Below are 27,162 nucleotides of genomic sequence, written 5' to 3' on the forward strand. Positions count from 1 at the left end.
AGTCCAGCTACCGTTTCTCCGCCCACAGGGCAGAATCTGGGCCTGTGGCGGGACAGCAATAAAAGGAGGAATTGTAGTGCTACGCTAAAATAATAGAAAAAAGGTAATTTTTCAAATTCTGCTATCCTTATACGAAAACTAAAAGATTGAAGATCTTGGCTCGATTTTATACCTAGTTAAATGAGAAGAAAGTTACCATTGAGAGACAAAAACATTTACTATTAGAATTCAAATTAAAAGCTGAAATGAATATGATAATCTCAAAACAAACGACTAGGTGCCCTGAGAGTGACCGAACAGAGCGGGGAGCGTTGCTTCAGCACCACGGAGAGATCATGACTGCAGTTTCGTGTGGGTTTTTGTATTTTTGCCCCCAATTCCAGAAATGCTGATCAAAATCTCAAAATTACAATTAGAAAACTGGGGGGCGGGGGGGAGGTGGAATTTGGTTCTTTCGTCCAAATTGAGCGGTCATTAAATCATTAGTACCAGGGATCCAGGGATCTATACCGGATTATGCAAACGCATGTAGGACGTAGAGGTTATACCGAAAGGTAATGTTTTTAACAAGAGACCACATTTCAGAATAAAAGCTTTAAAAAGCCTATGTGGAACATCACAGGTATCTAGGGCAGGAACAGCAGTTAGAGCTTGAACAGTTCTGCTTCCTTTCCGCAACTGTGGCATTCGAGGTCATTCGTCATATCAAATTCATCAGATTTTGTCTCCACTTTGCTAACCAATTCGCTAACCTTTCTGACATCTTGTGATGTGGAGGCGGAAATTTCCAGGGAAACCGACACGGGGCGTAAAGCGCGGCGGGGAGTCCGGGGGGCTCCCGCCTGGAGGGCTGTGTGAGCGGCGGGCCGCGGGGCGGCGCGGGGGGCGCTCTCCACTCTGCGGAAGCTGCCCCCTCTGCCCTCCGGTCCGCGCCCTTTCGCCCCGCTCTCTGCCCTCCGCCCCGCTCTCTGCCCTCCGCCCCGCTCTCTGCCCCCCGCCCCGCTCTCTGCCCTCCGCCCCTTCCGCGCGCCACCCAGCCTTCCAGCGCCTGCGCGCCGCACCGCGGTGGTCGCGGGCGCGGACGCGGACGCCTGCCCCCTAAGGAAGCCCATTGGCCAGCGGATGGGGCCAGCACCGCCTCGCGCCGGTGGTGGAAGCACGTGCTGGGGGCGGGAGCAGCAATCGCAGCCATGGCGTCGTTACTGTGGGGAGGCGACGCAGGGGCGGCGGAGAGCGAGCGGCTGAACAGCCACGTAACCGCCACCGAGCCGGGGGGCCACAGCCGCGGGGGTGGAGCTCCCACTCGCAGAGGGAGATCGGCTGGGAGGGGAGGGAGAGCCCGCGAGCGTTCGAAGTGGGGCGTCAGATGCTGGAGGGGAGATGCGGGAAGGGTTTGGAAGAGGGCCACAGAGGGAGACCCCGTCCCCACCCCCACGAGAGGCAAGACCTTTGGTTAGAAAGGGCAAAAATGACGACCCCTGGAAATCCAGGGTGGGAACGCAGCTGGTAGTCCCAGCTAGACCCCGAGTTTTCTACTCTGCCCATTTGCCCATTAAGCCTCACCTCGCTTCCATCCATTTGCCAGCGCACTTTCCTAGCCACCCTCCCCTTGTTGGTGCCGTGAGCCCCAAGTACTGCCCAACTCTAAACTAGAGGCCTAGGAAAGAGAAACTGCATGTACAGGGAATACAGAAAATCTCCAATTTTAGGGTAACTCATACAGGAAACCCAACCTTGAAAGGAATCTGCTGCTACCTAATATTGCAAAGGAAGCAATACCCGGGTGTCCTTCCCTGAATCCCTCCCAGCCCCTGTGGTAGGGAAGCACTGGGCTGCTTGAGGGCTTGCATCCTAATATTGGTTGAAATTTGTGTCTCTCAATAGTTTTCAAACCTCAGCCAACCCCGGAAGAACCTTTGGGGTATTAAGAGTACTGCAGTCCGAAACATAGGTGAGTGCTGTTAGGGCAAAGCAGAGCGACCTCAATGATTAAAAAGTATTGTTTTGCTTTCATCACGTCCCTGCCAAGTGAAACACCGCGGATTCATTAGTGTGACATTCAGCACTCTCCATTACCTTCCCAATCGTTTCGTCCATTCCTCCATGAAATGACTCTTCTTGCCAGTAGACACTGAAGAGTCAGGAAGAAAAAATTGAATAGCATGCTTTACATTTGTGCTCAGCATTTGTCTTTACTTGTATTGTTTCTCTTCCATCCTTTCCAGATGGTTCTATTAATAACATCAATGAAGATGATGAAGAAGATGTAGGTAGGAGATGAATTCATTTGCATGTATCTACTAGCATTCTGTTTCCGTTTATAACTTTAATAGTGTGAGTGAATAATATAATCTCAATTGGAAAAGGCCTGTCTTTGCTTCTGTTTTCTTATAGTGACTATCAGGAGACACACTAAATTAGGAGTAAGGTGTATTTATTTAAAGGAAGTTGAAATGGAATATGCAGGGATTGGGTTCAGAACTTCCATCTGTCAAGGATTTGGTCTCATGGAGATGGACTTAGGCTACTTTGAAGTTAGAGGATGGTGAAGTAACAGAGCGTAAGAAACTGAATCCTCATAAAGAACGAATCCTCAGTGCTATATCATTCTTTCTGGAACCCTCTTTTAGAGGAAAAATGAGCGTAGGTGCAATTGCTTGGTATACAACCACTGAAAGAGAAAGAGCAACTTATTTGATGTCATTCAGGAAGCTTGATGTCCTCTTTTTTATTTTTGCTTTTCTAGTGGATTTGGCAGCTAATTCACTCTTAAACAAGTTAATCCATCAATCCTTAGTAGAATCCAGTCACCGTGTGGAAGTTTTACAGAAGGATCCCAGCTCTCCACTTTACTCAGTAAAGACATTTGAAGAGCTGCGGCTGTGAGTATTTTTACTCTTTTAATATGGGAAAAATGCTGAAAACCACAGAACAAACGCATCTGCTTATAGTAAAAACCATCAGGATCTCCTCTTTGTTTTCTGATATTCAATATTTTTTTTTGTTATTTGAGACAGAGTCTCACTCTGTCCCCCAGGCTGGAGTGCAGTGATACGATCTCGGCTCACTGCTCTACCTTACAGGTTCAAGCGATTCTCCTGCCTCAGCCTCCCGAGTAGCTGGGACTACAGGCATGCACCACCACGCCCAGTTAATTTTTAATATTCAGTATTAAAGTGAGATTTGTACATTTTCCATGCAATCAAAATATAGCTCAGGCCAGGCACAGTGGCTCATTCCTATAATCCCAACACTTGGGAGCTGAGGAGGGCAGATCGCCCGAGGGTCAGGAGCTTGAGACCAGCCTGGCCGACATGGGAAAACCCCCTCTCCACTAAAAATACAAAAAGTAGCCGGGCATGGTGGCGCGCACCTGTAATCCCAGCTATTCGGGAGGCTGAGGTAGGAGAATCGCCTGAACCCAGGAGGCAGAGGTTGCAGTGAGCCGAGACACCATTGCACTCCAAGCCTGGGTGACAGAGTGAGACTCCGTCTCAAAAAAAAAAAAAAAAAGGATATTCTAAAGAAGAACATTAGGATACTCAAGTTGCCTGGCAAATTGAGAACATTTTTGATAGTAAGATATTTTCATCCTGCAGTGCTCAGGGGGATAGATAGCTAAGCTAGGCACAGCCAGATTGCCCCTCTCCATATCAGAACCCAGATTCTGATGACCCAGACATCCTCCTTCACCCACTATAGATAAGTCACAAACTTTTACTTTCCTGATTATATTTTGTTTCAAATGATATTAAACTGAATAACTTTCCCAAATGGGTTTGCATTCCCTAGGGATTTATCATTTGACGCTAAAAAATGTATTTTTACAGAACGAGAAAAGCACTGAAACCTACTTATGTAAAGGGTAAAAATCCAAAATCCTAGTTCCCAGACATTTTCTAAATGGTAGAAGAAGCCTACCCATGATTTAAGATGGGCTACCAGTCCTCTACCAATTAAGCACACACAAATGTGCATGTCATTAAAAGTTGAAGTGTTGGCCGGGCGCGGTGGCTCACGCCTGTAATCCCAGCACTTTGGGAGGCCAAGGGGGGCGGATCACGAGGTCAGGAGATCGAGACCATCCTGGCTAACACAGTGAAACCCCGTCTCTACTAAAAATACAAAAAATTAGCCAGGTGTGGTGGCGGGCGCCTGTAGTCCTAGCTACTCGGGAGGCTGAGGCAGGAGAATGGCGTGAACCCGGGAGGTGGAGCTTGCAGTGAGCTGAGGTCGCGCCACTGCACTCCAGCCTGGGCGACAGAGCAAGACTCCGTCTCAAAAAAAAAAAAGTTGAAGTGTTGTAGTCCACTTGATTTATCCTCATTCTGGCATTTTTCTTAAGACCCTCAGGAAAGCTGCATTTTAAAATATTGCCTCAGAAGGATGGAGTAATATTGTGTCTTCTACTCCTAGAAAGAACTAATATAAGAATCACCTAAATAAAAATTTGTCTTCTCTGAAAATTACTGTTAAAAATGTCAATATCGTTCGTGAAAAGGAACAAAACAGTAAATGTCACTTAGTTTTCTGCTTAGGCAGAAAATATAACTCTCTTGGCAAGCAGATATATTCTTTTTATGCGATGAGTTTTTCCATTTTTGCTTTGTTCAACAGAAGGTTTGACTTAAGGCCTTTACCACTGTCCTTCGCCTAGGCTTATGGCGTAGCTTATTATTTTAGTGGTCCAGCTCTACAGGCATGATTGTTTATGTTTGGAAGTTGAGGTATGAATGATCTATCTCCAAATACTAGTTTTAAAGCTCAGCTGCAAAGTGACTTAATTTAGAAATGCACCTTTCAGGTATGTATTTCTGATGCTACTGACCAACTATAATCTGTAAGTGTTTGATTTTTTTTTTTGACAGAAAGGAAGAGTTACTAAAAGGAATCTATGCAATGGGATTTAATAGGCCATCTAAAATCCAAGAGATGGCTCTCCCTATGATGCTGGCACATCCGTGAGTTTCCAGGGTAGTGGTATTCTACTTGGTTATGTTTAGTTTCTTATTTTCAGTTTATGCCCACTCTCTTGTATTCAGTTTATGCCCAGTGGTCTTCTCTTTTCTACAGACCCCAGAACCTCATAGCACAGAGCCAGTCTGGAACAGGAAAGACAGCGGCATTTGTGTTGGCAATGTTAAGCAGAGTTAATGCCTTGGAATTGTTCCCACAGGTAAGGGAAGGCTGAGAGAAGACTGGGAATGCTTGCACTACCAGTGCTAATTTAGTAATAGGTGATATTCCTGTGCAATGATATGGTTACTATGGTGATGAAATATTTAGAAAAGACATGTTTTCATAAAATCATAGAGCATTGGGTAGCAGCATGGGACAGTGATGGAGAGGACAGGCTTTATAGTCTTGAGTGGTTTCAATGCTAGCCTCCCACTTACTAACTGAATGTCTTAGGCAAGTTAATAAATCTGAGTCTGTTAATCCTTGTCTGTAAAGATAGCATCTGTAAAGGAATGTATCATAGTTGATCTGTTCACCCTTAAATCCTAATACCTAGCACAGTGCCTGGCTTGTAGAAACCACTCATTAAACATTGAATAAAGTCATCATGTGGATTTAATGAAGTAATTTACGTTTTTAGCACAGTGCCTGGCATAAATTAAGCATGCAATAATTATAGCCATCTAACTGCAGGACCAGAAGGTCAGGTAGTCCACCTCACTCTAGCAGAGGAGGAGGCTGATGCTTGGAGAGGGAAGTGTCTTTCTTGAGGTCCCCAGAGAGTGGCTGAGTCAAGACTGGCACTGGTACCCGGTTTACCATTCTCCTAGTGTAGTTTCCACTCATGAAAAGTATCTGGTCGTCTCTCCCTATTTGCTTGACAAGCTGAGTACCCATATGCATTAAGTGCTGTGGGGAATACCAAGGCTCTCTCAGTAAGCTTCCACTCTGATCAGCCAGGTCAGCTATAGGTAAGGCATAGGAAATCTTACGCATTTTAGACAAGTTCAGTGAAATTTATGTTTAGGGTTTGATATTATCAATAAAAATTATGTAGGATAAGTTATGTTGGAGCACATTTTGAAAAATGTGTGGGAAAGATATTTTTAGCCCTTTGGCTATGTTTCCCTATCACAGATTCCTAATTGACACATATAAGTGCATTAGATATTACCGTTTTTTTCCATCAGCATCTTTATTCATCAGCAACCACCATTTTTATGGAGTATGGAATAACAGAGTTTGGGGGAATATTCTGCCTATTATGTATTATATTATGTTATATATATCATATTATGTATTGTAAAGATATAGATAATATAAACAGATTGGATCAAGCAAGGAGTGTTCCCGAAATAGGCAGTCTTTTTTTTTTTTTTTGACATGGAGTCTCACCCTGTCAACTAGGCTGGAGTGCAGTGGCATGATCTTGGCTCACTGCAACCTTTGCCCCCCCGGGTTCAAGTGAGTCTCCTGCCTCAGCCTCCCAAGTAGCTGGGATTACAGGCACCCGCCATCACGCCTGGCTAATTTTTTTGTATTTGTAGTAGAGGTGGTGTTTTGCCATTTTGGCCAGGCTGGCCTCAAACTCCTGACTTCAGGTGATCCGCCCACCTCAGCCTCCCAAAGTGCTGGGATTACAGGTGTGAGCCACCGTGCCCAACCTCAAAAATAGACAGACTTTTAATAGCAAATGAGAGGCTATGGGATAGAGCTCGAACTGTAATTTGCCTCGCATTCATTGATTCCCAGCTTCCCTACATCCCATTCTTCCCCCTCCTATGCCTCCCCCACTCCAAAAAGGGTGACTAGTAACTTGTGTTTCTAAATAACCCTTTAGAGAGGAATATGTAAAAGGTAGCTGTTTCTCCATTCCTTGGCCCCTTCCCCTTCTCATACTCAACATTCACCTCAAATCTGTCAACTATTAAACTGTATCCAATTAAAAATATTTCATTCAACCAAAACCTTCAATTTCCTTTCTGTGCCTCTCCCTGTACAAATTTTTATTGCAGTTGAAATTTGAAAGATGCCTGTAAGAACCTTTCTCCTCCCCTCTTCTCTCTCTATCCCACAGTGCCTCTGCCTAGCTCCTACTTATGAATTGGCTCTGCAAACTGGCCGTGTGGTTGAGCAGATGGGAAAATTCTGTGTGGATGTTCAAGTGATGTATGCCATTCGAGGGAATCGAAGTATGTACCAGTAAGCCAGTCCTGGCTGATTTTTCAAATCCTGGCTTCACCACGAATAAGCATTTTATATAACTTCTTGGCATTCTCATCTCTAAATGGGGGAAATAATACCACTCATGTCATAGAGTTGTTATTAGAATTGAGATGACGTTGGTAAAGCATTGTACACAATGCCTGGCACGTAGTAAGGACCCACTAAATGTTAGCCACATCATTTCCACATCCTGCAAGAGGATGCCTTTGTCCGTAATTCAACACTTGGTTGTTTTGTGCAGGACAGCTTTTATTTTTGGATTTTTCGTTAAAATATTATAAGCTTATAATGGGGAAAAAACTTTAAAAGACAAAAAGATTAAAAGTGAAAGTTGTTCTTCATTGCCTTCCAGAAACGTAATGCCAAAGATCACATAGTAAACAGGCAAGCCTTTGTGTTTTGCTTTTTTTTTTTTTGAGCTCATACATGCACATACAAATGCCCATATTTATATTTGTTTTCACTGAGTGTTTACAAAAATAGAAGGACTTTTTTTCATACTGTTTGTTCCTTTGACTAGCTGCCCAATATTTCATGATTTATTTAATGTAACCTATTGATGGACATTTTGGTTGTTTTCTGTTTGGGGAAGTGCCATTTTTCACAGTTAAGAAAAAGTCAGAAATTTATCCTAAAAATTCTGCAGAATCAAAAACCACAATGACCCTCGGGGTTTCCACTTGGAAAATTATTACAAACTGTATTTTTGCTTATGAGCTTTATATTGCACTGCCCTGAACTGTGACCTGTTGGAGTTGTTTGCATCTGAAGGAGTGCTTAAAACCCTTTTCTCCCCAGTTCCCAGAGGCACCGACATCACTAAACAGATTATAATTGGCACTCCTGGGACTGTCCTAGATTGGTGTTTTAAACTAAAATTGATTGATTTGACTAAGATTCGTGTGTTTGTCCTGGATGAAGCAGATGTGATGATTGACACTCAAGGATTCTCAGATCATAGTATTCGTATTCAAAGGTAATCTTCAGAGTCTTCCTCTCTTCCTCAGCCTTCTGTCCAGATGGGGAATTTCATTTGTTTACTCCTCCACATTATCTTTATTGCTTAACTCCTCACCACCTTCACCTCTAAAATAAATTTGAGTTTTTACATTATTTTCACCAGTTCAAGGGTCCCTCAGACTGCTATAGTTTTCCAGCTTCTTCAGTTTGTAATCTTGCCTGAGTGCTTTACTTTGCAACACAGCTTACAGATGGACTCTATTAATATATAGTGCATCTGCACCAAATTTGCCAATATGTTCTATATTTTGGCCAAAATTCTAAAGAGGATCTGTTAAAGCCTAGTGAGAATACAATGGATAATTGAGATAGAGTAGAGGACACAGTAATGTGGGATCAGGAGACTGGTAATCTAGTCCTGACTTTCCCCCTAATTTGTAAAAAGCCGTGTCATTTTCCTAGGCCTCTCTATCAGGATCACCTGAGGGATTTAAAACTACAGATTACCGGACGCAGCCTCAGACTTACTGAATGAGAGTTTCTGTAAGTGGGATTTAGGAATCTGTATCACGTATTTTTTAATGAAGTATTACATACTCAATGTTAAATTCAATTAGTATTGAAAGACTTGTAATGAAAAACAGTAACCCCTTGCTCCAACCTGAAGAGAATACTTCTCTTTTCTGATATTAACCTTCATACTTGTAAATAATATTTTCATACTGCTGTTTCCTGATGTATAGTCATTGTCAACTGATTTCCCATTATAGGAAGTGGGAATTGAGTTCTTTGAAAACACCACCCATTCTACCTTTCCTATCCCCCCATTACCTCTCTGTAATTATGTCATGAATTAGGTTACAGTAACTGTCAGTATTGATATCATGTGACAGTGTAAGTATTGTTCACTGCTGAGCCAAACAGCGTATTATTATAATTACAGTTGCCCCTCCGTATCCACAAGGGATTGGTTCCAGGACCCCTTGCACGTGCCAAAATCTGTGGATGTTCAAGTCCCTGATGTAAAATGTTGTAGTATTTGCATGTAACTTATACACATCCTCTTGTGTACTTTAAATCATTTCTAGATTATTTATAATGACAAGAAAAAAGTCCATATACATTCGGTACAAGCACAATTTTTTCCAAATATTTTTGATCCACAGTTGTTTGAATCCACAGATGCAGAGCCCACAGATACAGATGGCACTAATATAAAGGGCTGTTTTTCTTGTAAAGCTTTTTCTTCTAGAAGTAATCATTGCTTTTGCTTTTTTTTTTTCATTTTGTTAGTATCACTGTGTAAGGATCTTTAATTTTCCCTTAGCTATTCTATCGTATGTGTCATATGTCTGTGATATCTCCAAATAGTAAAATAAAATTTAAAAATCCATCCATTTCTCAGCTGGGCACGGTGGCTCACGCCAGTAGTCCCAGCACTTTGGGAGGCCGAGACGGGTGGATCACAAGGCCAGGAGATCGAGACCATCCTGGCTAACACGGTGAAACCCCATCTCTACTAAAAATACAAAAAAATTAGCTGGGCATGGTGGCAGACGCCTGTAGTCCCAGCTACTTGGGAGGCTGAGGCAGGAGAATGGCGTGAACCCGGGAGGCGGAGCTTGCAGTGAGCCGAGATCACGCCACTGCACTACAGCCTGGGTGACAGAGCAAGACTCCATTTCAAAAAAAAAAAAAAAAAACCATCCATTTCTCTTTTTTCCTGCCAATATTCCAAGCTCCCTCTCTCCAGCTTCAGTCTGGTAGATCTGCTGTACAGCTGTCATCATGGGTCTTTCCTTTGCTCACTTAAGTTTTAAATCTCCTATATCTTGGGTCGTTTTTCTTGGAGTACTTCCTCAGTATGCTGGAGTATATTTTCTAATGCCTTCCTGAAAAACAATATAAAAGAGATTCATTTTTCAGCCCTTACATGTCTGAAGATGTCCTTATTGTACCTGTAAATTTGATCTTTTGACTAATAGTTTGCCCGGATAGGAATCCTGTGTCATTCTCTCTCTAAATTCAGAGAAATGTTGAAAACAGAAAAGTTTTTAAAAATAACTTCAATATATAATTAATATCCTCAGCTTCCACTGTTGTTACTGAAAAGTTTAATGTCACCCTGATCTCCAAGCTTTTGTTTATGACCTTTTTTTTTTCTCTCGCGAGAAGCCTTTGGAGTCTTCTTTCTTTATGGTATTCTGAAACTTTTCAGTGACATACTTTGGTTCAGGTCTTTTTTCATTCATCATACTAGACACATACTGCACCCTTTCATTCTCAAAACCTGGGCCTGCCACTTCTGGGAAAATTTCTTCAGTTATCTCTTTCCCCAAAGTGACCAACTTTTTAGAGAGCCCATCTGGGACACAATCATAACAATCCAAAAAAAAAAATGATATAAAATAGAAGAAATAATCATACACAGGGTTATTATTTTGTTGTGTGTTTCCTTCCATTTGTCATTAAAATAACACAGTCATTGAGCATTCCGTTTCTGTCTGTCTCAATCACACTGGTGGTGGTCTCTGATTTTTTTTTATAGAGCTTCCTCTTCTTGCATTACAGATGCAGTATCTTCAGTTGTCTCTCTGAGAACATTAATTCTAGTATTTAAAAATTTTTTCTGTTTTAACATTGTGAATTATCCAAGTTTCCTTTTTGTTTGCTACAGCCTCTTTCACAGCAGAACGTTCCTCTTTATATGTGGTGACACTTGGCTAGCCTTTCATGATCTAGGGTGAGAAGCTACAATTCCAACGGACAGCTCTGTGTGCATGGCTGGGGCTGCCACTTGGGAAGTCCTACTGTGTGACGATTGTCATCTGGAGGTCTTTAGGACTATGTAATGTCTCTGTTCTCTTTTCTGGGGGATAGACCCTTGGTTGCTGACATTCTGGGAGCAAGGCAGGGGAACAGGCTGAGAGGGCCGTCCCATTCGGTATGCATATTTTCACTTGATCTCCTCTTTTCAGCCATATGTTTTGCCTCCACTTTCTACTAAGGCTTGTATCCCCAAATCTGGAATTTCTGCACAGAATAAACATCTAATCTTCTGCTTCCACAGGCCTAGCTACCTAAAGTAGGGGGATCCACCTGCTCCTTATACGTATTTTCTGCCTCAGCCTTCCTATTTAAAATAATTTTCAGCAGAGATCAAAAGAGGTTCCCTTCTTGTCATCCTCTTACCAATAAGTTGGTTTGTTTTATATAATAGCAAATGAAAAATTCAGAACTCCAGGAAATATTTAGTAGTGAAAAAGGGCTTTCTTTTTTTCTGAGATGGAGTCTCACTGTGTCACCCAGGCTGGAGTGCAGTGGCGCCACCTTGGCTTACTGCAACCTTTGCCTCCTGGGTTCAAGCAGTTCTCCTGCCTCAGCCTCAAGAGTAGCTGTAGCTGGGATCACAGGCACGTGCCACCACACCCAGCTAATTTTTGTACTTTTAGTAAAGATGGGGTTTCTCCATGTTGGCTAGTTTGTTTATGACCAAAAAATGGTCATAAACAAAAGCCTGGATATCCGGGTGACATTAAGTTCAAGGCCAGGTCTCAAGTTCCTGGCCTCAAGTGATCCACCCGCCTCAGGCTCCCAAAGTGCTGGGATTACAGGTGTGAGCCACCATGCGTGGCCCCAAAAAGGGCTTTCTAAGAAAGTCTCTTTTATTTTATACTCAAGAGAATATTAAGTAATAATTAGATAGAGCATTTATGTTGGTTGATCAGCCGTCCATTGTTATAGTCTTCCTTCCATTTGCTTAAAACAGGTTAAACCAGTGATGTCCAACAGAAACTTAATACAAGCCACATGTATAATTTTAAATTTTCTAATAGCCACATCCAAAAAGAAAGAGATGAAATTAATAAATATATGTTATTTAACCCATTGTATCAAAATATCTCTTCAACAAGTTAATCAATATAAAAATTATTAGTGACATATTTTACATTCTTTTTTCATACTAAGTCTTCAAAATCCAGTGTGTTCTACAGAACAGCCATGGTTTTCTTTCCTTATGTATTATATACATTTTTTCTTTGTGAGTAACAATCCAAACTCTTAAACTTTCACTAAGCTTCAAACGAGACTACTTCTCCACAATATTTATCCCAGCAAAATGGCCCAAGCCTTAGGATATAAATCCTTGTGCCATCTTTCTCCAGATGCAGGATTGTGACCCAGCAGGTGGCCAAGAGGCTCTAGCATGTGGAATGCAGAGTTTTCCTCATGTTTTCTAACATATGTCCTGTTTTCAGTTCTTTCCCCCTGATTCTCTGGTTCCTGTAGCTCACAGCTCCTAGACCTCCCGGTGGTTCTGAGGGAACAGTTAGCTGCGTTTTCATCAACTCTGTGTTCTGCAGTGCTCATGGTGTAGCTTCATCCACTTTCTCATTTACCACCCCTTCCGTCTTCCAAAAATGTATTTAGATAACTTATCCACCAGTTTCTTCTCTCCCATTCTCCACATTTTCCGTGGATTCTTTTTATCTCTTTATGATCACATTAGTGGGATTTGGGCAGCTAAGAAGATAACACAGGTAGACGGTCTGACATCATTGACCAGAGGTCTATCGGATTGTTGTTTGATGATCGAGACCCTAGGCTTAAAATTGAGTTTGAGAATCACTGGACTATATGGTCTCTTTCACTCTCTTTTAGCACTAACAGTTTATTCCTCAAAGTGCTCTGTCTCCTTCTCAAAAGAGCCGATTTCCCTCTGGTCTCTCTCATTTATTTTGTTTTAAAAAGTTAACTTTTTATTGATATATGAAATATATACAGAGAAATACACCAATGATAAGTGTACCATTGAGTGATTTATCACAAGAAGCCATGCTCTTGTAACAGCAGCCCAGATGAAGGAATAAAATTTTACCAGCACCCTAGAATTTTCTTAATAACCCCTTTCTGCTCACTGGTCCCTCTCTTTTCCCAAGGATTAGCCTCTATCCTAACTGCTAACTCCGCAGATTTATTTCACCTGTTTTTTAACTTTATGTGAATCAGCCCTGTATTCATTCTGGGTTCAGAATGGGTACATTTCAGTCACTGTACTTTCCCCTGTTGCTCCCCTTTAATTTGTATCTAGTTCTTCCCATTCTGAATCAAGTTAGTTGTGGTTGTTCTTTCCCTCCCAAGATATATAATGCCTGCTGTCAAATAACTGGCTCTGTTTCCTTCATCTCCATTTACCTTTGTGTGAGATTATAACTATAAAGAGCATCTAGTCTACCCTTCTTGTGGCTGCGTGAGTCTGCCTCTCCTAAGGAGGAAGTTGGCATGAGAAATCTCAGAACCTCCAGAATATATACCTAAACTTTGCCCTATGCTTCACATTCTGTTTATATACTTTTCTAAATTCTTGGTGGCAAGGAGGGGCAGGACCTTGGCTATCTGCCTGGAGATACAGCTGGTCATTGCAGGCAGCACCTCACGTGGAACAGGGGTGCGTGCAGCGGCTGATGGCAGTGGCATGAAGTGCTTGAAGAAGAGTGATGGGATGGCAGCTTGGTGACAGCCTTCTCTCCTCTATCACAGAGCTCTACCCTCCGAATGCCAAATGCTCCTCTTTTCAGCAACCTTTGAGGACTCTGTGTGGCACTTTGCTGAGCGAATCATCCCTGACCCTAATGTTATCAAGTTACGCAAAGAGGAGCTCACACTGAACAACATCCGGCAATATTACGTGCTGTGTGAGCACAGGAAAGACAAATACCAAGCTCTGTGCAACATTTATGGCAGCATCACCATTGGTCAGGCCATCATCTTCTGCCAGGTACACTCTGTGGATGTGTCTTCATCGAGCCCAGATATGCCTACAGGCCGAGGTGGGGGACGACAATAAGTGCCCTAGAGCCAGGCACCATGTTCAGCACTTCTTGTGTGTCTCCAGTTTAATCTTCAGAACAGCTCTAAACAGAAATTACCTGTATTTTATGGGTGAAATGTAAAAAGGTTAAGTAATGGAATAGGATCTTCAAAGTGATGTTAAACACAGGGCCTTCTTTTAGAGGGACTGCTTCTAACACTTCCCCATTTCAGCTTATGTTTATTGTACCTTGTACAGATACCCTTTATCAGGTGAAGGATGTTATTCACTATTAACAAAACCCCGTTTTTATGTTTGTTTTTTGCTTTCTGACATTCTCATGTTCATCTGTTTTATTTTCTCACTACCCCGTAAACACTTTAAGCTTCACGACAGCAGGGTCTCCTCTCTCTCATTCACTCCCATATCCACTGCACTAGACCAGCACCTATCTGGCACATGGACAGCACCAAAAACATATGTGTAGAATAAAAGAAAGCTCAGCTCTGCCACTGGCTAACCATGCAACCTTGGGCAAGTTACATAACATTTTTAAGCTTTGGGAGTTTTGTCTGTTTTTAATTTTTAATTTGTTTTATTTTTTATTTTTTTGTGACAGAGTCTCGCTCTGTTGCCCAGGCTGGAGTGCAATGGCATGATCTCAGCTCACTGCAATCTCCGCCTCCTGGGTTCAAGCAATTCTCCTGCCTCAGCTTCCCGAGTAGCTGAGACTACAGGCGCCTGCCACCACACCTGGCTAATTTTTGTATTTTTTTAGTAGAGACGGGGTTTCACCATGCTGGCCAGGCTGGTCTCGAACTCCCGACCTCAGGTGATCCACCCGCCTTGGCCTCCCAAAGTGCTGGGATTACAGGTGTGAGCCACCGCACCTGGCCTGTTTTTAATTTTTTAAATGAAATTAGGTTGCTACTTCATTAATTTGTTGTGAAAACACATGACCCTTACCATAATGCACATAAAGATTTCAGCCAGATGCCTGGCACATGGGAAGCAAGCACTCTTAGAGTGTCTGTTGTTGCCATTGTTACATGATATCATTTTGTCATCATAGCACCTGTGAGGCAGATGTAGCACATTTATCTCCATTTCATGCGTGAGAAAGCCAGAGGTCTGACTGGTGGAGAGGATGTGAGCCTTAGAAACACAGGCGGAGGGAGGATGCCCTGCCACATTTTAAGGCCCTGGAGGACTGAGGGAGAGGTGAAGCTCAACTCCTCTGCAGCCCTCTCCCACCCCCGCCCTGCATGCATGGTGTCACAAGCACAGCTAGGCTGCTTTGCTTAATCTTGGGGTGCTGTGTTGGGTTTTGCCTTTTTACATAGACTCGTCGAAACGCTAAGTGGTTGACCGTGGAGATGATACAGGATGGCCACCAGGTGTCTTTGTTAAGCGGGGAGCTGACCGTGGAGCAGCGAGCTTCCATCATTCAGAGGTTTCGGGATGGGAAAGAGAAGGTTCTCATAACAACTAATGTTTGTGCCCGAGGTGTGTGTTAAAAGTCAGGTCTTGAGTTCTAATTTGCATATGATAAAATGCATTCCTTTTAAGTGTACAGTTTCGCGAGTTTCGACAAACATGCAATCATGCAGCTATCACTGTCATCAAAATACAGAGCATCTCCATCTCCCCAGTTTCCTCACACTCCTTTTCAGCCAATCTCCCTTTCCATCCCATGGCCCCTGGCAACTACTGATCAGATTTCTGTCTCCATATTTTTGGAGACACAGAATCAAATCATACTGTATATAGCCTTTGTGTAACTTCCTCCACCTGACATAATGCTCGTAATAATACTAATGAATTTCATTAGTATTGTTCCATGCACCAGCAGTTCATTTCCTTTTCATTGCTGATAGTATTCTATTGACAGTTCGTCTGTCCACCAGTTGATGGACATTTGGACTGCTTTCAGTTTGTGGCTATATTTAACAAGGCAGTAACAAAAATTCATGTGCAGGTCTGTATTTAGAGATATGCTTTCATTTCTCTTGGGTAAATATCTAAGAGTGGGGTTGTTGGGCCCTATGATAGGTGTGCGTTTAGCTTTATAAGAAGCTGTAAAACTCTTCCAGTTGCTCTGCATTCTTGCCAGCAATTGCTAACGTCACTCTTAATTTTAACCATTCTAGTGGCTGTATACTGGGATCTCATTGTGGTTTTAAGTTGCACTTCTCTGATAACTAATGATGTTGAGCATCTCTCTGGAGTTTCTCATCTTAAAAGTGTTGACTACTGGTGAAAAAAATCCTTTTTTTTTTTTTTTTTCAAGAGAAGGGCCTTCCGGCTTTCTTCATCCCTCCTAAATCATTGCTTGCACCCCATACTCATACCACATTTCCTAGTTCATTCTTAGTTTAGCACACAGAACTGACAACCTGCCATGCTAGGAGTGGATGCTGACTCTGCTCTTGGGAAAGGTATCCTGAAAAAAGGATGATGTCTCTATCCCTTAAGAGCTCACAGCCTAGGCTCTTGCCTCTCTACACTGGCACTATTCAACAGAGCTTTCTGCAGTGATGGAAATGTTCTATTCTGTGCTCTTCAGTGGGTAGCCACTAGCCATATCAGCTCCTGAGCACTTGAAATGTGGCTAGTGTGATTGAGGAACTGAATTTTTAATTTTATTTAATTGAAATATAGCCACATGGTGCTAACATTTATCATATTGGACAGCGTAACCCTAGACCCTAGAGGAAGGAAGGCACAGAGAGCTCCAGGTCAAGGCACAGTACAAGGAGTGCAAGGATCCTGACCCGGACAGCTTGTTAATGTTGAGAAGGAAGGTACAGTGGGGAGGGGAAGTGCAGAAGTCTTCCGAGGCAGCCTTCAATCTGAAAGGGGTTTTGCAGGGGCGGGTGCGGTGGCTCACGCCTGTAATCCCAACACTTTGGGAGGCCGAGGCGGGTGGATTGCTTAAGGTCAGGAGTTCAAGACCAGCCTGACCAACATGGTGAAACCCCATCTCTACTAAAAATACAAAAATTAGCCAGCCATGGTGATGGGCACCTGTAATCCCAGCTACTCGGGAGGCTGAGACAGGAGAATCGCTTGAACCCGGGAGGCAGAGGTTGCAGTGAGCCAAGATCGTGCCACTGCACTCCAACCTGGGTTACAGAGCGAGACTCCATCTCAAAAAAAAAAAAGAAAAAAGTTTTGCAGGAAGGGTAGCAGTTCAGTTGAATGAGAATTTACGTTTGTTCAGGAAATGGCCAGACCTTGACTGGAGTGTTGTATTTGAGAGTCAGGAGAGAAAGAGATGAGACTTGAGGTGGCTTGCAGTCTTGAATTGCTTGTACTTTTCCTGTACAATTTGGGCAGTGGGTTTTGAACGTAAGTGTGCTGGACATTGCTGTGGTGACCATCGTAGGAGAGATGAGAGGAGTAGGGGAAGAGAGTGGTGAGAAACCAGTCTGGAAGTTGTTGTAACCACTGAGGCAAGGGCTCAAAAGACCTGACCAGGACAGTAGCCATGAAACGGAGCAGAGCCAGAGCCCCATGACGGGCAAGCGGGTGTGAGACTATGGGGCCTGCTGGGGACTTGGCACAGCAGGAGCAGAGAGGAGAGGGTGGCTCTGTGGGCTTGGTGAGGGCACCTCTCCACCACACACACACATACACACACACACACACACACACACACACACACACGCCTTGTGTATATTTACATTTCTGTAGCATTCTCTATGGACACGCTCATCTAGCATCATAGACATCACAGCATGCAAGCAAACTTCCTAACCAAAGTACCTGTCTCAATTACATAAGCCCTGGTTGGATTTCTAAATTTTCTCTATAAATAGGAATTCCCTTGGCAGACGTGGTACTTGAATGGCCCGTGTACTGAGGAAAGCATTGCAGGACCCTACAGTGTTTTTCCTCTTCTAGGGATTGATGTGAAGCAGGTCACAATTGTTGTGAACTTTGATCTCCCTGTAAAACAAGGAGAGGAGCCGGACTATGAGACCTACCTCCACCGCATAGGGCGGACGGGGCGCTTTGGGAAAAAAGGCCTTGCCTTCAACATGATTGAAGTAGATGAGCTGCCCTCGCTCATGAAAATCCAGGACCACTTTAGTAAGTAGCACCACCCTCACAATATGAACTACAGACCTGCCGGTCTGACAGTGATGATGTGTGCTGGAGAGCTGGAGTCCAGGGGCTCATGAGAGTAGTAGAAGCAGAATGCATGAGCTGGAAGGCTTCTAATTCACAGGACCAGGGTTCTAATATGAGACAGATGATTAAATAATGCTTATATGGTAATTAAAAATTATTTTGATCAAGCAGAATTAATATGAGCTCAGGCCGGGTGTGGCAGCTCACACCTGTAATCCCAGCACTTTGGGAGGCCGAGGTGGTCAGATCATGAGGTCAGGAAATCCAGACCATCCTGGCCAACATGGTAAAACCCCATCTCTACTAACAATACAAAAATTAGCTGGGCGTGGTGGCACATGCCTGTAGTCTCAGCTGCTGGAGAGGCTGAGGCAGGAGAATCGCTTGAACCCAGGAGGCGGAGGTTGCAGTGAGCTGAGGTCGCACAACTGCACTCCAGCCTGGCGAAAGAGTGAGACTGCGTCTCAAAAAAATAAAATTTGAGCTCAGATTTACATGTTATAACTCATTCTGGAGTCAGAATTTCACATCTTGTGAAGGCAGAGCAGATTACAGAAGCAGATTTTCGTATCTTATAAAGAAATTCCCTAAGCAAAGTAGTAACATCCTTTAAGATTCTCTTCAGTTCTCCTCTTTTACTTACGCTTTTTCCCTCCTCTTGCCCACCCTCCCAAACAGGAAAGTCCTAAATTCTGAAGTCCGCGACCTTTCCTCCAGCCCCCCATCTAAACAAGGCAGGCTCTGATGATGGCCTGCTGGAACTCTGGACTGGCAGATTTCTCTGATGGAAACTCAAAAGGTCCCATGGTTCAAATTGTCCTGTGCCCCAAAGCCCATGGATGTGGCTGGGGAGCAGGGGAGAAGGAACACCTTCCAGGACAGTGGTACTTAACCTTGTAGAAAGCAATAAGCGCTGTCCCCAGGGAAGTGCACACAGGCACACACATGCCATTTGGAATATAATTTTCACAGGTTGGCAGACTGAGTGTAGCACATCCACCGACCTTTCAGGGAAGTAGGTTAAGTGCCCCTGTGTTAGGCTAACTGGGGAGGACAGGGTGAGGAAGATGTGTTAAGGCCACTGTCGCTATGGTGAGCTTCTAAGGCCCTGGTCTCAGGAAGTGACTGCAGTAGAAGAGCCTCAGTCCCTCCCAGGCTCTCCTCACTTCCACTCTGGCCTTCTCTGCCCCAGCGTATCTAGATACATACATTCCATGGTCTGGTGCATTTGATGCTGTTTGAGTTAGTATTGGTCAGTGATTTTGGCACCCTTCCTTCCTTATGTTCCTATACCAAGGCTTTTTATACGAGGTATCACTGTCTTCAGAAATATGGATGGAATGAAGTTCCATTTAGACCCTGACATGAGACTAGTTCTGTTCTCTTTTGTTCTTTTAGACAGCAGTATTAAGCAACTCAACGCTGAAGACATGGATGAAATTGAAAAGATTGACTATTGAAGAAAGAACTTTATTGTTTGTGCAGTATCCTAGTTTATGTGAGAATGTCTCAGTGGGTTTTGAAGGTAATTTTTTTATGTTGAGGCTTTTTCGACGTGAAACTGTCACAGATGGCAAAATAAATGTCACGGTACTTAGTTTTAAGACATGAGGTCTTTTTGAAGCCAAATTGATGTGAAGCTTGTGATCCTTTTGAATAAAAAAAAGGCAAGATTATTTCTTATTCTAATCTTTGTACAGGTAATGTCTCAATGTGGGCTATGGGGGTGTTTTTGGATTTGGTTGATACAATCTGAGCAGATCGTGCCTCTTGGGAGCATCTTACTGTGTCACAAGAGGGCGGTAGAGCTTCGCTGATTTTGGAAGCGGAGCGAGTAGGAAAAAGCCCATGTCTTCAGACCTCACTCACAGGTGCCCTTTCCAGCCATTTATGCCTTTCCCCGCTCCCCGCCTTAAACTCCCCCATGCATGCACATGCATGTTCTTAAGTGAAAGTACAGATTAAAACTTTTAAAAAGTGAAACCATTTGAAAGAAAGAGTATTTTACTTCTTTAATGTTTCAAGGGACATACAGAATTTCAGAGTATTTTTCTATTTTGCTTCTCTTCAAATTAAAGATTTACTCCCTCATCAGTTATTTCATAGTCTCTAAAAGTGTGGCTGTATTATGGGCATTTCTTAAAAGCAGTCGGGAGGGTAAAAAAAAAACCCACATACCCTATTAAAGAAGTAACATTTTAGAGAGCAAAAGTTTTTTGCTTTTAAGAATTTAAAGGTATGTCAGAATCCTGGACATTTTCCCACAAGACCCATTGAGATACTTTTTAATTTTTCATATTTCCTACTCAAAAGTAAAGTGTAGTGAGCTTGAGAAGATGGGGTAAATGGAGAGTCCCCCAGAAAGCCGGAGCGGATCTTGTAACCAGAGCGCCGGTACCAGCTCTGTCACGGCACCAAACTGCACCAGTGGCTGCAGTGAGTGGCCCTGTCATCGGTGGCATGGTGGTTCCTGGCATATCTATTTTGATATCCCTCTTCCATGTCACCCTGCCCATGTTTTCTCCCGGAGAGCAGGGCTCAGAAATACATAAAAATCATCACGTGGCTGGGCACAGTGGCTCACACCTGTAATCCTAGCACTTTGGGAGGCCAAGGAGGGCGGATCACGAGGTCAGGAGTTAAGACCAGCCTTACCAACATGGTGAAACCCCTTCTCTACTAAAAATATAAAAATTAGCTGGGCGTGGTGGTACGCGTGCCTGTAATCCCAGCTACTCAGGAGGCTGAGGCAGGAGAATCACTTGAACCCAGGAGGCCGAGATTGCAGTGAGCCGAGATCGTGCCACTGCATTCCAGCCTGGGCGACAGAGTGAGACTCTATCTCAAAAAAAACGCGCTCCCCTCCCTCATTTAGCAACAGATATTTATTGTATACCCTTTATGCCAAACACCAGGGAAAAGGAGGTGAGTGAGATACAACAGCCATGTTGGAATTCAGAGCCTAATGGCAGAGACCTAGAATAAGCCAGCATGATAACAGACTGTGCTAAAGCAAGCGGGCCCAGATCACTAGTGTAGCACAGAGGAGGGACCCTAACACCATCTAGGCTGGCTCCCAGAGGAGAGGACACTCAGGATCTCCTACAGGAGAGCAGGATGTATTCAACTGTGCCTTCTCAGCATGGACTTTGTACCACCCAGCAACTTTCTAACCTGAGTCTACGAGAGGAAGTGTTCCAGACCCAGCTTACCATAATTACCTGGAGAGCCCGGGGAAAAAAATACAGATTTCCTTCCCCATGCAGATGAAAGCAGACTCTCCGAGGGCAGAGCCCAGAAATACCCACTTCCATAAGGGAGCCGCAAGTGCAGGTAGAGCAGTGGTAACGAAGATGGCCGTCCCAGCGGGAGACCCTCAGGCAGAGAGGCCCTTGGGGACAGAACTTGTAACACATGGAACTCCTGCTGCTCGGTGTCCATCCTGGTTCTCCTTATCCTACATCTGCCCTTCTCTCTGGACTGGAAGCTGGTGATCACTCTTGTCCACTCAATACCCCTAACACAGTGCCCAGTGCATTCTAAGTGCCCAAGGAACCTTTGTCTTTGTTGAGTAAATTTTTTTTTCTTTTGCCACTTCCTCATTCACTAATAATTTTTTTTTAGGTTTTCCATCCTAGTTTTGAACCCCAATTACATGGCACAGGATGAATGAGCATGAGAAGTGTATCCAGATACTTTGTTCTCTTACTATTCGAGAATCGAGTTGGACCTTCCACCGTGCTCAGCTCCGCCTTGGGGTGTCCTAAATAAAACTTTACCACTTTCCTTTACAGTTCAAATCTCTGGTAAGATCTCCGCCAGTTACCCTCACAAATGTCCTCAGTAATTTTTGTTTGGCAGCTGTTCCCACAGGTCTGCATGAACCAGGTATTTTTCTGCGTTCCCTTTTGCCCCCTCCTCACGTCCCTTTGTCTCACCACCTAGGAGGCAGCAAAGCCATCCTGTGTCACAGCTGCATTAACACGAACTGGCTAGTTTGGTGAGTCAACAATCCAAAGGCTGTTTTTTGCAGGGTGCAGCTCCTGTCAGAGCTGTAAGCAATTTTCCCGTCTTCCTGCATGGCCTGGCCAAGGTCATCTCTCTCAGTGCCTGCCTGAGGACAGAGTAGATAGAGAGGCAAGGAAACACCAGGTGATTTCAGTGCAACTGTGAGCTGGGTTCATCAGCTGTATGTTTCTTGGCACCAAATACTAAACCAAATCCGTTAAGTTTATCTTGGCCAGCTTAATACTGTTAGCATATTGAAATTCATGATTACGTAGAGCAGGACTGTGATTTCCAGTGGGTAAGTGAACACCTCGCATGGAACACGGCTGCTATGATGTTAGGTGCTGGATCTAAGGCAACCATTAATAATAGGAAAGGCAAATAAGTTGGTCATAGTCTGGTAGGATGTGTGACAGCCGCTTTTCAAGAGACATTATTGCTTTTGGTCATGAGAAAGTGTTGATCCTCCTCAGCAAAGCTCGGTCACCATGAAAGCTGCTGGCAGTCTCTGCACATATGACCAACAGTGGAAAATCTTAGAGGAGTGATGGGGGTGGTGGGTGGTGGGCAGTACCTTTCCAGACAGCAGAGAGAGAGAGGCTGGTTTTGTCAAGCCTTGGCTTGGTTCCTGGTCCTCTGAGAGGCTCAGTCTCCTTCCTTTTGATTCAAGGCAGGACCTAGATTAGAAAGAGAACCCCTGCAGAGACAGTCCAGCTGTTGGGATGGGCCTGCACTTTGCTCTCTGAACCGGGGGGCATTACTATGTTCTCACCCACATTGTACAGACAGCCCATCATGCTCAGCCTTGCAGGAGGGTCTTCAGGAGCCCAGCCATCTGGCACATACTGCTTTTCCCAAGGGAGTAACAGAAAGGTCAGATCCTCTTCAATCCTAACCCTCTCACTTCAACTCTCCACTACTTCTGGGGAATAATGATGTATTATCCAAGACCCTCATATCATATTAACCCACAGACTATGAAATCATCACAGTCTTGTTCTATGCTACAGGGAATACGAACTTTTTGCCCTAGAAAGCATCCAAGAGGCACTCAACCCCAACATTTTCTATACTTTTGCTAATCCGTGGCTGAGAGAATTTGACATTTTCCCTTCTCTTTTTTTTTTTTTTGAGATGGAGTCTCACTGTGTTGCCCAGGCTGGAGTGCAGTGGCGTGATCTCGGCTCACTGCAAACTCTGCCTCCCCGGTTCAAGCAATTCTCCTGTCTCAGCCTCCCGAGTAGCTGGGGCTACAGGCACATGCCACCACGCCTGGCTTATTTTTGTATGTTATTTTAGTAGCGATGGGGTTTCACCGTATTGGTCAGGCTGGTCTCGAACTCGTGACCTCAGGTGATCCACACGCCTTGGCTTCCCAAAGTGCTGGGATTACAGGCATCAGCCACGGCGCCCAGCCTCCCCTTCTCATTTCTGTCTGCTGACTCCTCTTCCCGTTCTGCTGCTCACATCCGCAGGTTGATGTTTTCACCCTCGGGGTTCTGCCTTATCCCCTGCCACCCTCCTGTGCTGCCTGGGTCCCTCAGAAGGATGGGTCTGGACTTCCCACACCCTCCTTCGCTGCCCCTCACTGTGTTGCCTGGTGTCTGCCTGAAGAGATGCAGTTTGAGCCATTGGCTGGTTTCTCTTACTGCTTTGCAAACTATCAGTTTTAAATGTGGGTGGGGCTGAAGCACCATTCTCCATTTTTAATGTGGATTTTCCATCCCCCTTTAAACATTAAACTTTTAGATTCTTCTAGTGAAATACAGAAAACACACGTGAACTGGGATGATTCTTGGCTGAGAGATGTCCCATGGTGTTTGGCAAACCCACGGAGGGGCCCACAGGCCCATGTCTGGAACTGCCTGGCCCTCCTTTACCAGTTTATCAGCCTTCCATCTCTGCTGAGGTAGAAACAGCCAGAGGCTCTGATATAATAAAGATGAGCTCTGAAGAGGGGCTCTCTCTCCCTCTTGTATTCAGAAGAACTGAAAGTTTTCATAAGTCTCTAGAGAAGCGTGGCAACTATCTGTAGCATTTTTCTTTGGGAATTAACCTTTGCCCATAATTATTTCTGTTCAGTAGAATAACCATGGGTTTCTCTATTCCAGTTTCTAGAATATAATTTTCATAAATGAGGATGGTCTCCTATTTTGAGCTTAACATTTTTCTATTGCTAGAAAGAATGGTACTGCCTCACTCCAGCTCCTTAGTGTGTGATCATGGCTTGAAATCTCTGCTTTCTGTTATATTCGGAGGTAACATGTATAGGTCATGTATAATGGCCTCAGGCATGATTTAGAAGGCACAGACTGAGCAGGCTGCTTTGTGAGGTGGTGAACTCCCCATTCATGAGAGCATTCAATCAATCAGAAGATGAATAGTTAATCAGATGCTGTAGTTCTGGTTCTTGAATAACCAGGAGTTCAGAATAAAATGATCTCGGAGACTCTGTCCATTCTAAGATACCATGTTTCCATGACCCTACACACAATAGCTACACAGGTGGAGCAACATGAGTCTGAGAAGCTTTGCACAAAAGAAGATTGTTTTCCACAAATGAAAATGGGGTGGTTAACTTCTAATTGTACCCTGTCTTAGCGTTCAGATGCATTGGTTCCTTCCCCATGTGACCATCTCTTCATTCAAAGCTTAGGCTGAATGTGGATTATTTTTAATTTAATGTTCATATTATAAAAGCAATGAAACAGCAAAGTAGAGCAAAATATCAACAATCCAATGACTTTATCATAAAAATTATCAGCTTGATATAGTCCTGTTCTTAATATAAACATCTGTGGTTAATTATAGTATTATATCTTTTTATTTGAAACATTCAAGTTTTTTTTCATGTTACCACACAGTGTTTGGGATTATATTTTCAAAATAATAATTGACCAGATTGTCCTATCTAGTGAATATGCATATAGCTGACTTTGTTGAACATTTATAGGATGTCCATTTTTCCAAAGCTTTAATTATAAATCATGCTGCAGTAAATATCTTCTCGCCCAATATTCCGAATTATTTCTTAAGATTAGAGACATTAAGTGCGAGTACCAGGTCGAAAACTAGAAGCACTTTAACAGCATTTAACAGATTTTGTTAGAGCTACATTGCATTCAGTAGACTGGCTATACCAATATATAGTTGCACAGCAAATTCACCTCACCTTACCAGCAAGGGATATTTTCATTTTAAAATTGCTTGGTAACTTTTCTGGTTTATGTTTCTCTTAGTACAAGCAAGATTATATTTTTTAAAGTGGTTCATCATTTGAAAAGCATCTGTAGTGTTCTTTGCCCATTTATCTTGTGGGATGTTAATGGTTTCCTTGTCAAGTTGTGTGAAATATATGTGTGAATTTATTTTTCCAAATAAAATAAAGACATTAACCTTCTATTTTACTGACAACATATTGTCTATCTCAGTCTGACTGCATTTTAAAATGTGTTATAGTTGTTTCACACAAAGTTATTTAATTTTTTGTAATGAAATATATCAATAATTGATTGTCTACTGGTTCTAGAATATTAGCACTGCTCTAGAAAACATGTTTAATTTTATTTTTAGTTATTGTGATTTTTATCTTTAAAAAGATACTCAGCTTTAGTCCATCTGTAATTTGTTCTGGTGTGAGGTATATCACCAAGAAACCTCTATTTCCTATTATTATATCTTCCTTATCATATTAAATTTCTACATACCTGACACATAAAACAAGATTCTGGGTATCTACTTAATGCCAGTTTATTCTTGGGCCAACACCACAGTTTTATGTATTATTGTTATAAAATGTGTTTTATTTTAAGGACTTGTTCCCCCTCTTGGCTATTTTCATTATCTCTCATATTTGAAAAAATGTCATTACTCAGTTTATTCCTCAAGATTAGTTTTAGATCCATTTAACCAATTTCCAAAAGTTCCTCTGATATTTTATTTGATGGGATCCATTTGGCAGGAGTAATGTATTCAGTCCATACATTACTTTGTGGAGAATAGATTTCTTTACAGTTTTGAATCAAATGCTAGATCTCTCTTGTCTCAAAAAGGTCAGGAGATATGCTAGGAGCAAAGCCCCTTAGACACCTGAGCAAGAGGCTGTGCTAGCCAAGGGGAGAGGCAGGGAGGGTCGGCGCTGAGGTGGTCTCCAGGGGCGTGCCTGACGGAGGAGGACCTGGCAACAAGCTCGGGCATTTCATTTCTGTGCATCTCCATATGCCAACTTGTCTGCCAGGGGCCCGAATTCTGCTGGCAGATTGAGTGCACGTGAGGGCAGGAAGCTTGGGCTCAAGTCCTGCCTGCCCATGAACCTGCTCTGTGGCCATGGACAAAGCCACATCACCTGCCTGGGCCCCACCTCCCCAGGACTCTTCCAGCTCTACAATCCTATTCCTCCCTGACACCACAGTGCTATCATGCTTCAGCCTTTGACAGGCCTGCGTGGCTTGAAGACAGAGACCATTTGTAATGGACCTGGCTCTCTGTCAGGCCCAGCACCCAACCCAGTGCCTAGCACCCCCTAGATGTTGCACAACTATGGCAAGAAGGAGGGAAGGAGGAAATTGTGTAACCCCAATTTGTAGTAGAGTTTTGTCTTAGCTAATGTGTTTTATAGTAGGGGTTCCCAACCCCCGGGTCACTGACTGGTACCGGGCTGCCCAGCAGGTTTGTGGCAGGTGAGCGAGCGAAGCTTCATCTGTATTTACAGCCCCTCCCCATCACTCACATTACCACGTGAGCTCTGCCTCCTGTCAGATCAGCAGCGCCATTCGATTCCTATAGGAGCACAAAACCCTATCGTGAACTGTGCATGTGAGGGATCTAGGTTGCGCGCTCCTTCTGAGAATCTAATGCTGATGATCTGTCGCTGTCTCCCATCACCCCAAGATAGGACCATCTAGTTGCAAAACAAGCAAGCTCAGGGCTCCCACTGATTCTACATTATGATGAGTTGTATAATTATTTCATTATATATTACAACGTAATAATAGAAATTAAAGTGCACAATAAATGCAATGCACCCGAATCATCCCGAAGCCATTCCCTCCACACCCCTG

At 43.5% G+C, this 27,162-nt stretch overlaps 1 protein-coding gene and 1 long non-coding RNA gene across 4 annotated transcripts in view; one reads left to right on the forward strand and one right to left on the reverse strand.

Annotated features, from left to right (window-relative positions):
- On the forward strand, window positions 1-25,516 carry DDX25 (DEAD-box helicase 25). Of its 3 annotated transcripts, none has more exons than NM_001330438.2 (12): window positions 1-103; window positions 1,885-1,951; window positions 2,226-2,270; window positions 2,747-2,882; window positions 4,869-4,961; window positions 5,074-5,176; window positions 7,037-7,151; window positions 7,984-8,161; window positions 13,687-13,924; window positions 15,301-15,463; window positions 17,864-18,052; window positions 19,493-25,516. In NM_001330438.2, the coding sequence occupies exons 5-12, from the start codon at window positions 4,900-4,902 to the stop codon at window positions 19,552-19,554; spliced, it is 1,110 nt and encodes a 369-aa protein (NP_001317367.1). In that variant the 5' UTR covers window positions 1-103; window positions 1,885-1,951; window positions 2,226-2,270; window positions 2,747-2,882; window positions 4,869-4,899; the 3' UTR covers window positions 19,555-25,516. The 3 variants fall into 3 exon arrangements, with proteins under 3 accessions (NP_001317367.1, NP_037396.3, XP_047282805.1); NM_013264.5 differs by lacking the exon at window positions 1-103 and adding an exon at window positions 1,181-1,253; XM_047426849.1 differs by lacking the exons at window positions 1-103; window positions 19,493-25,516 and adding an exon at window positions 1,181-1,253 and having other exon boundaries at window positions 17,864-18,060.
- DDX25-AS1 (DDX25 antisense RNA 1) overlaps window positions 20,092-27,162 on the reverse strand; it is a 15,624-nt gene continuing 8,553 nt past the window's right edge. The window contains exons 3-4 of the long non-coding RNA NR_199024.1: window positions 22,677-22,779; window positions 20,092-22,208 (exon numbers count right to left, since the gene is read on the reverse strand). This is a non-coding gene — a long non-coding RNA (DDX25 antisense RNA 1). The remainder of the gene's footprint in view (window positions 22,209-22,676; window positions 22,780-27,162) is intronic.

Source organism: Homo sapiens, chromosome 11 (genome assembly GCF_000001405.40).
Source record: "Homo sapiens chromosome 11, GRCh38.p14 Primary Assembly".
NCBI lineage: Eukaryota > Metazoa > Chordata > Mammalia > Primates > Hominidae > Homo > Homo sapiens.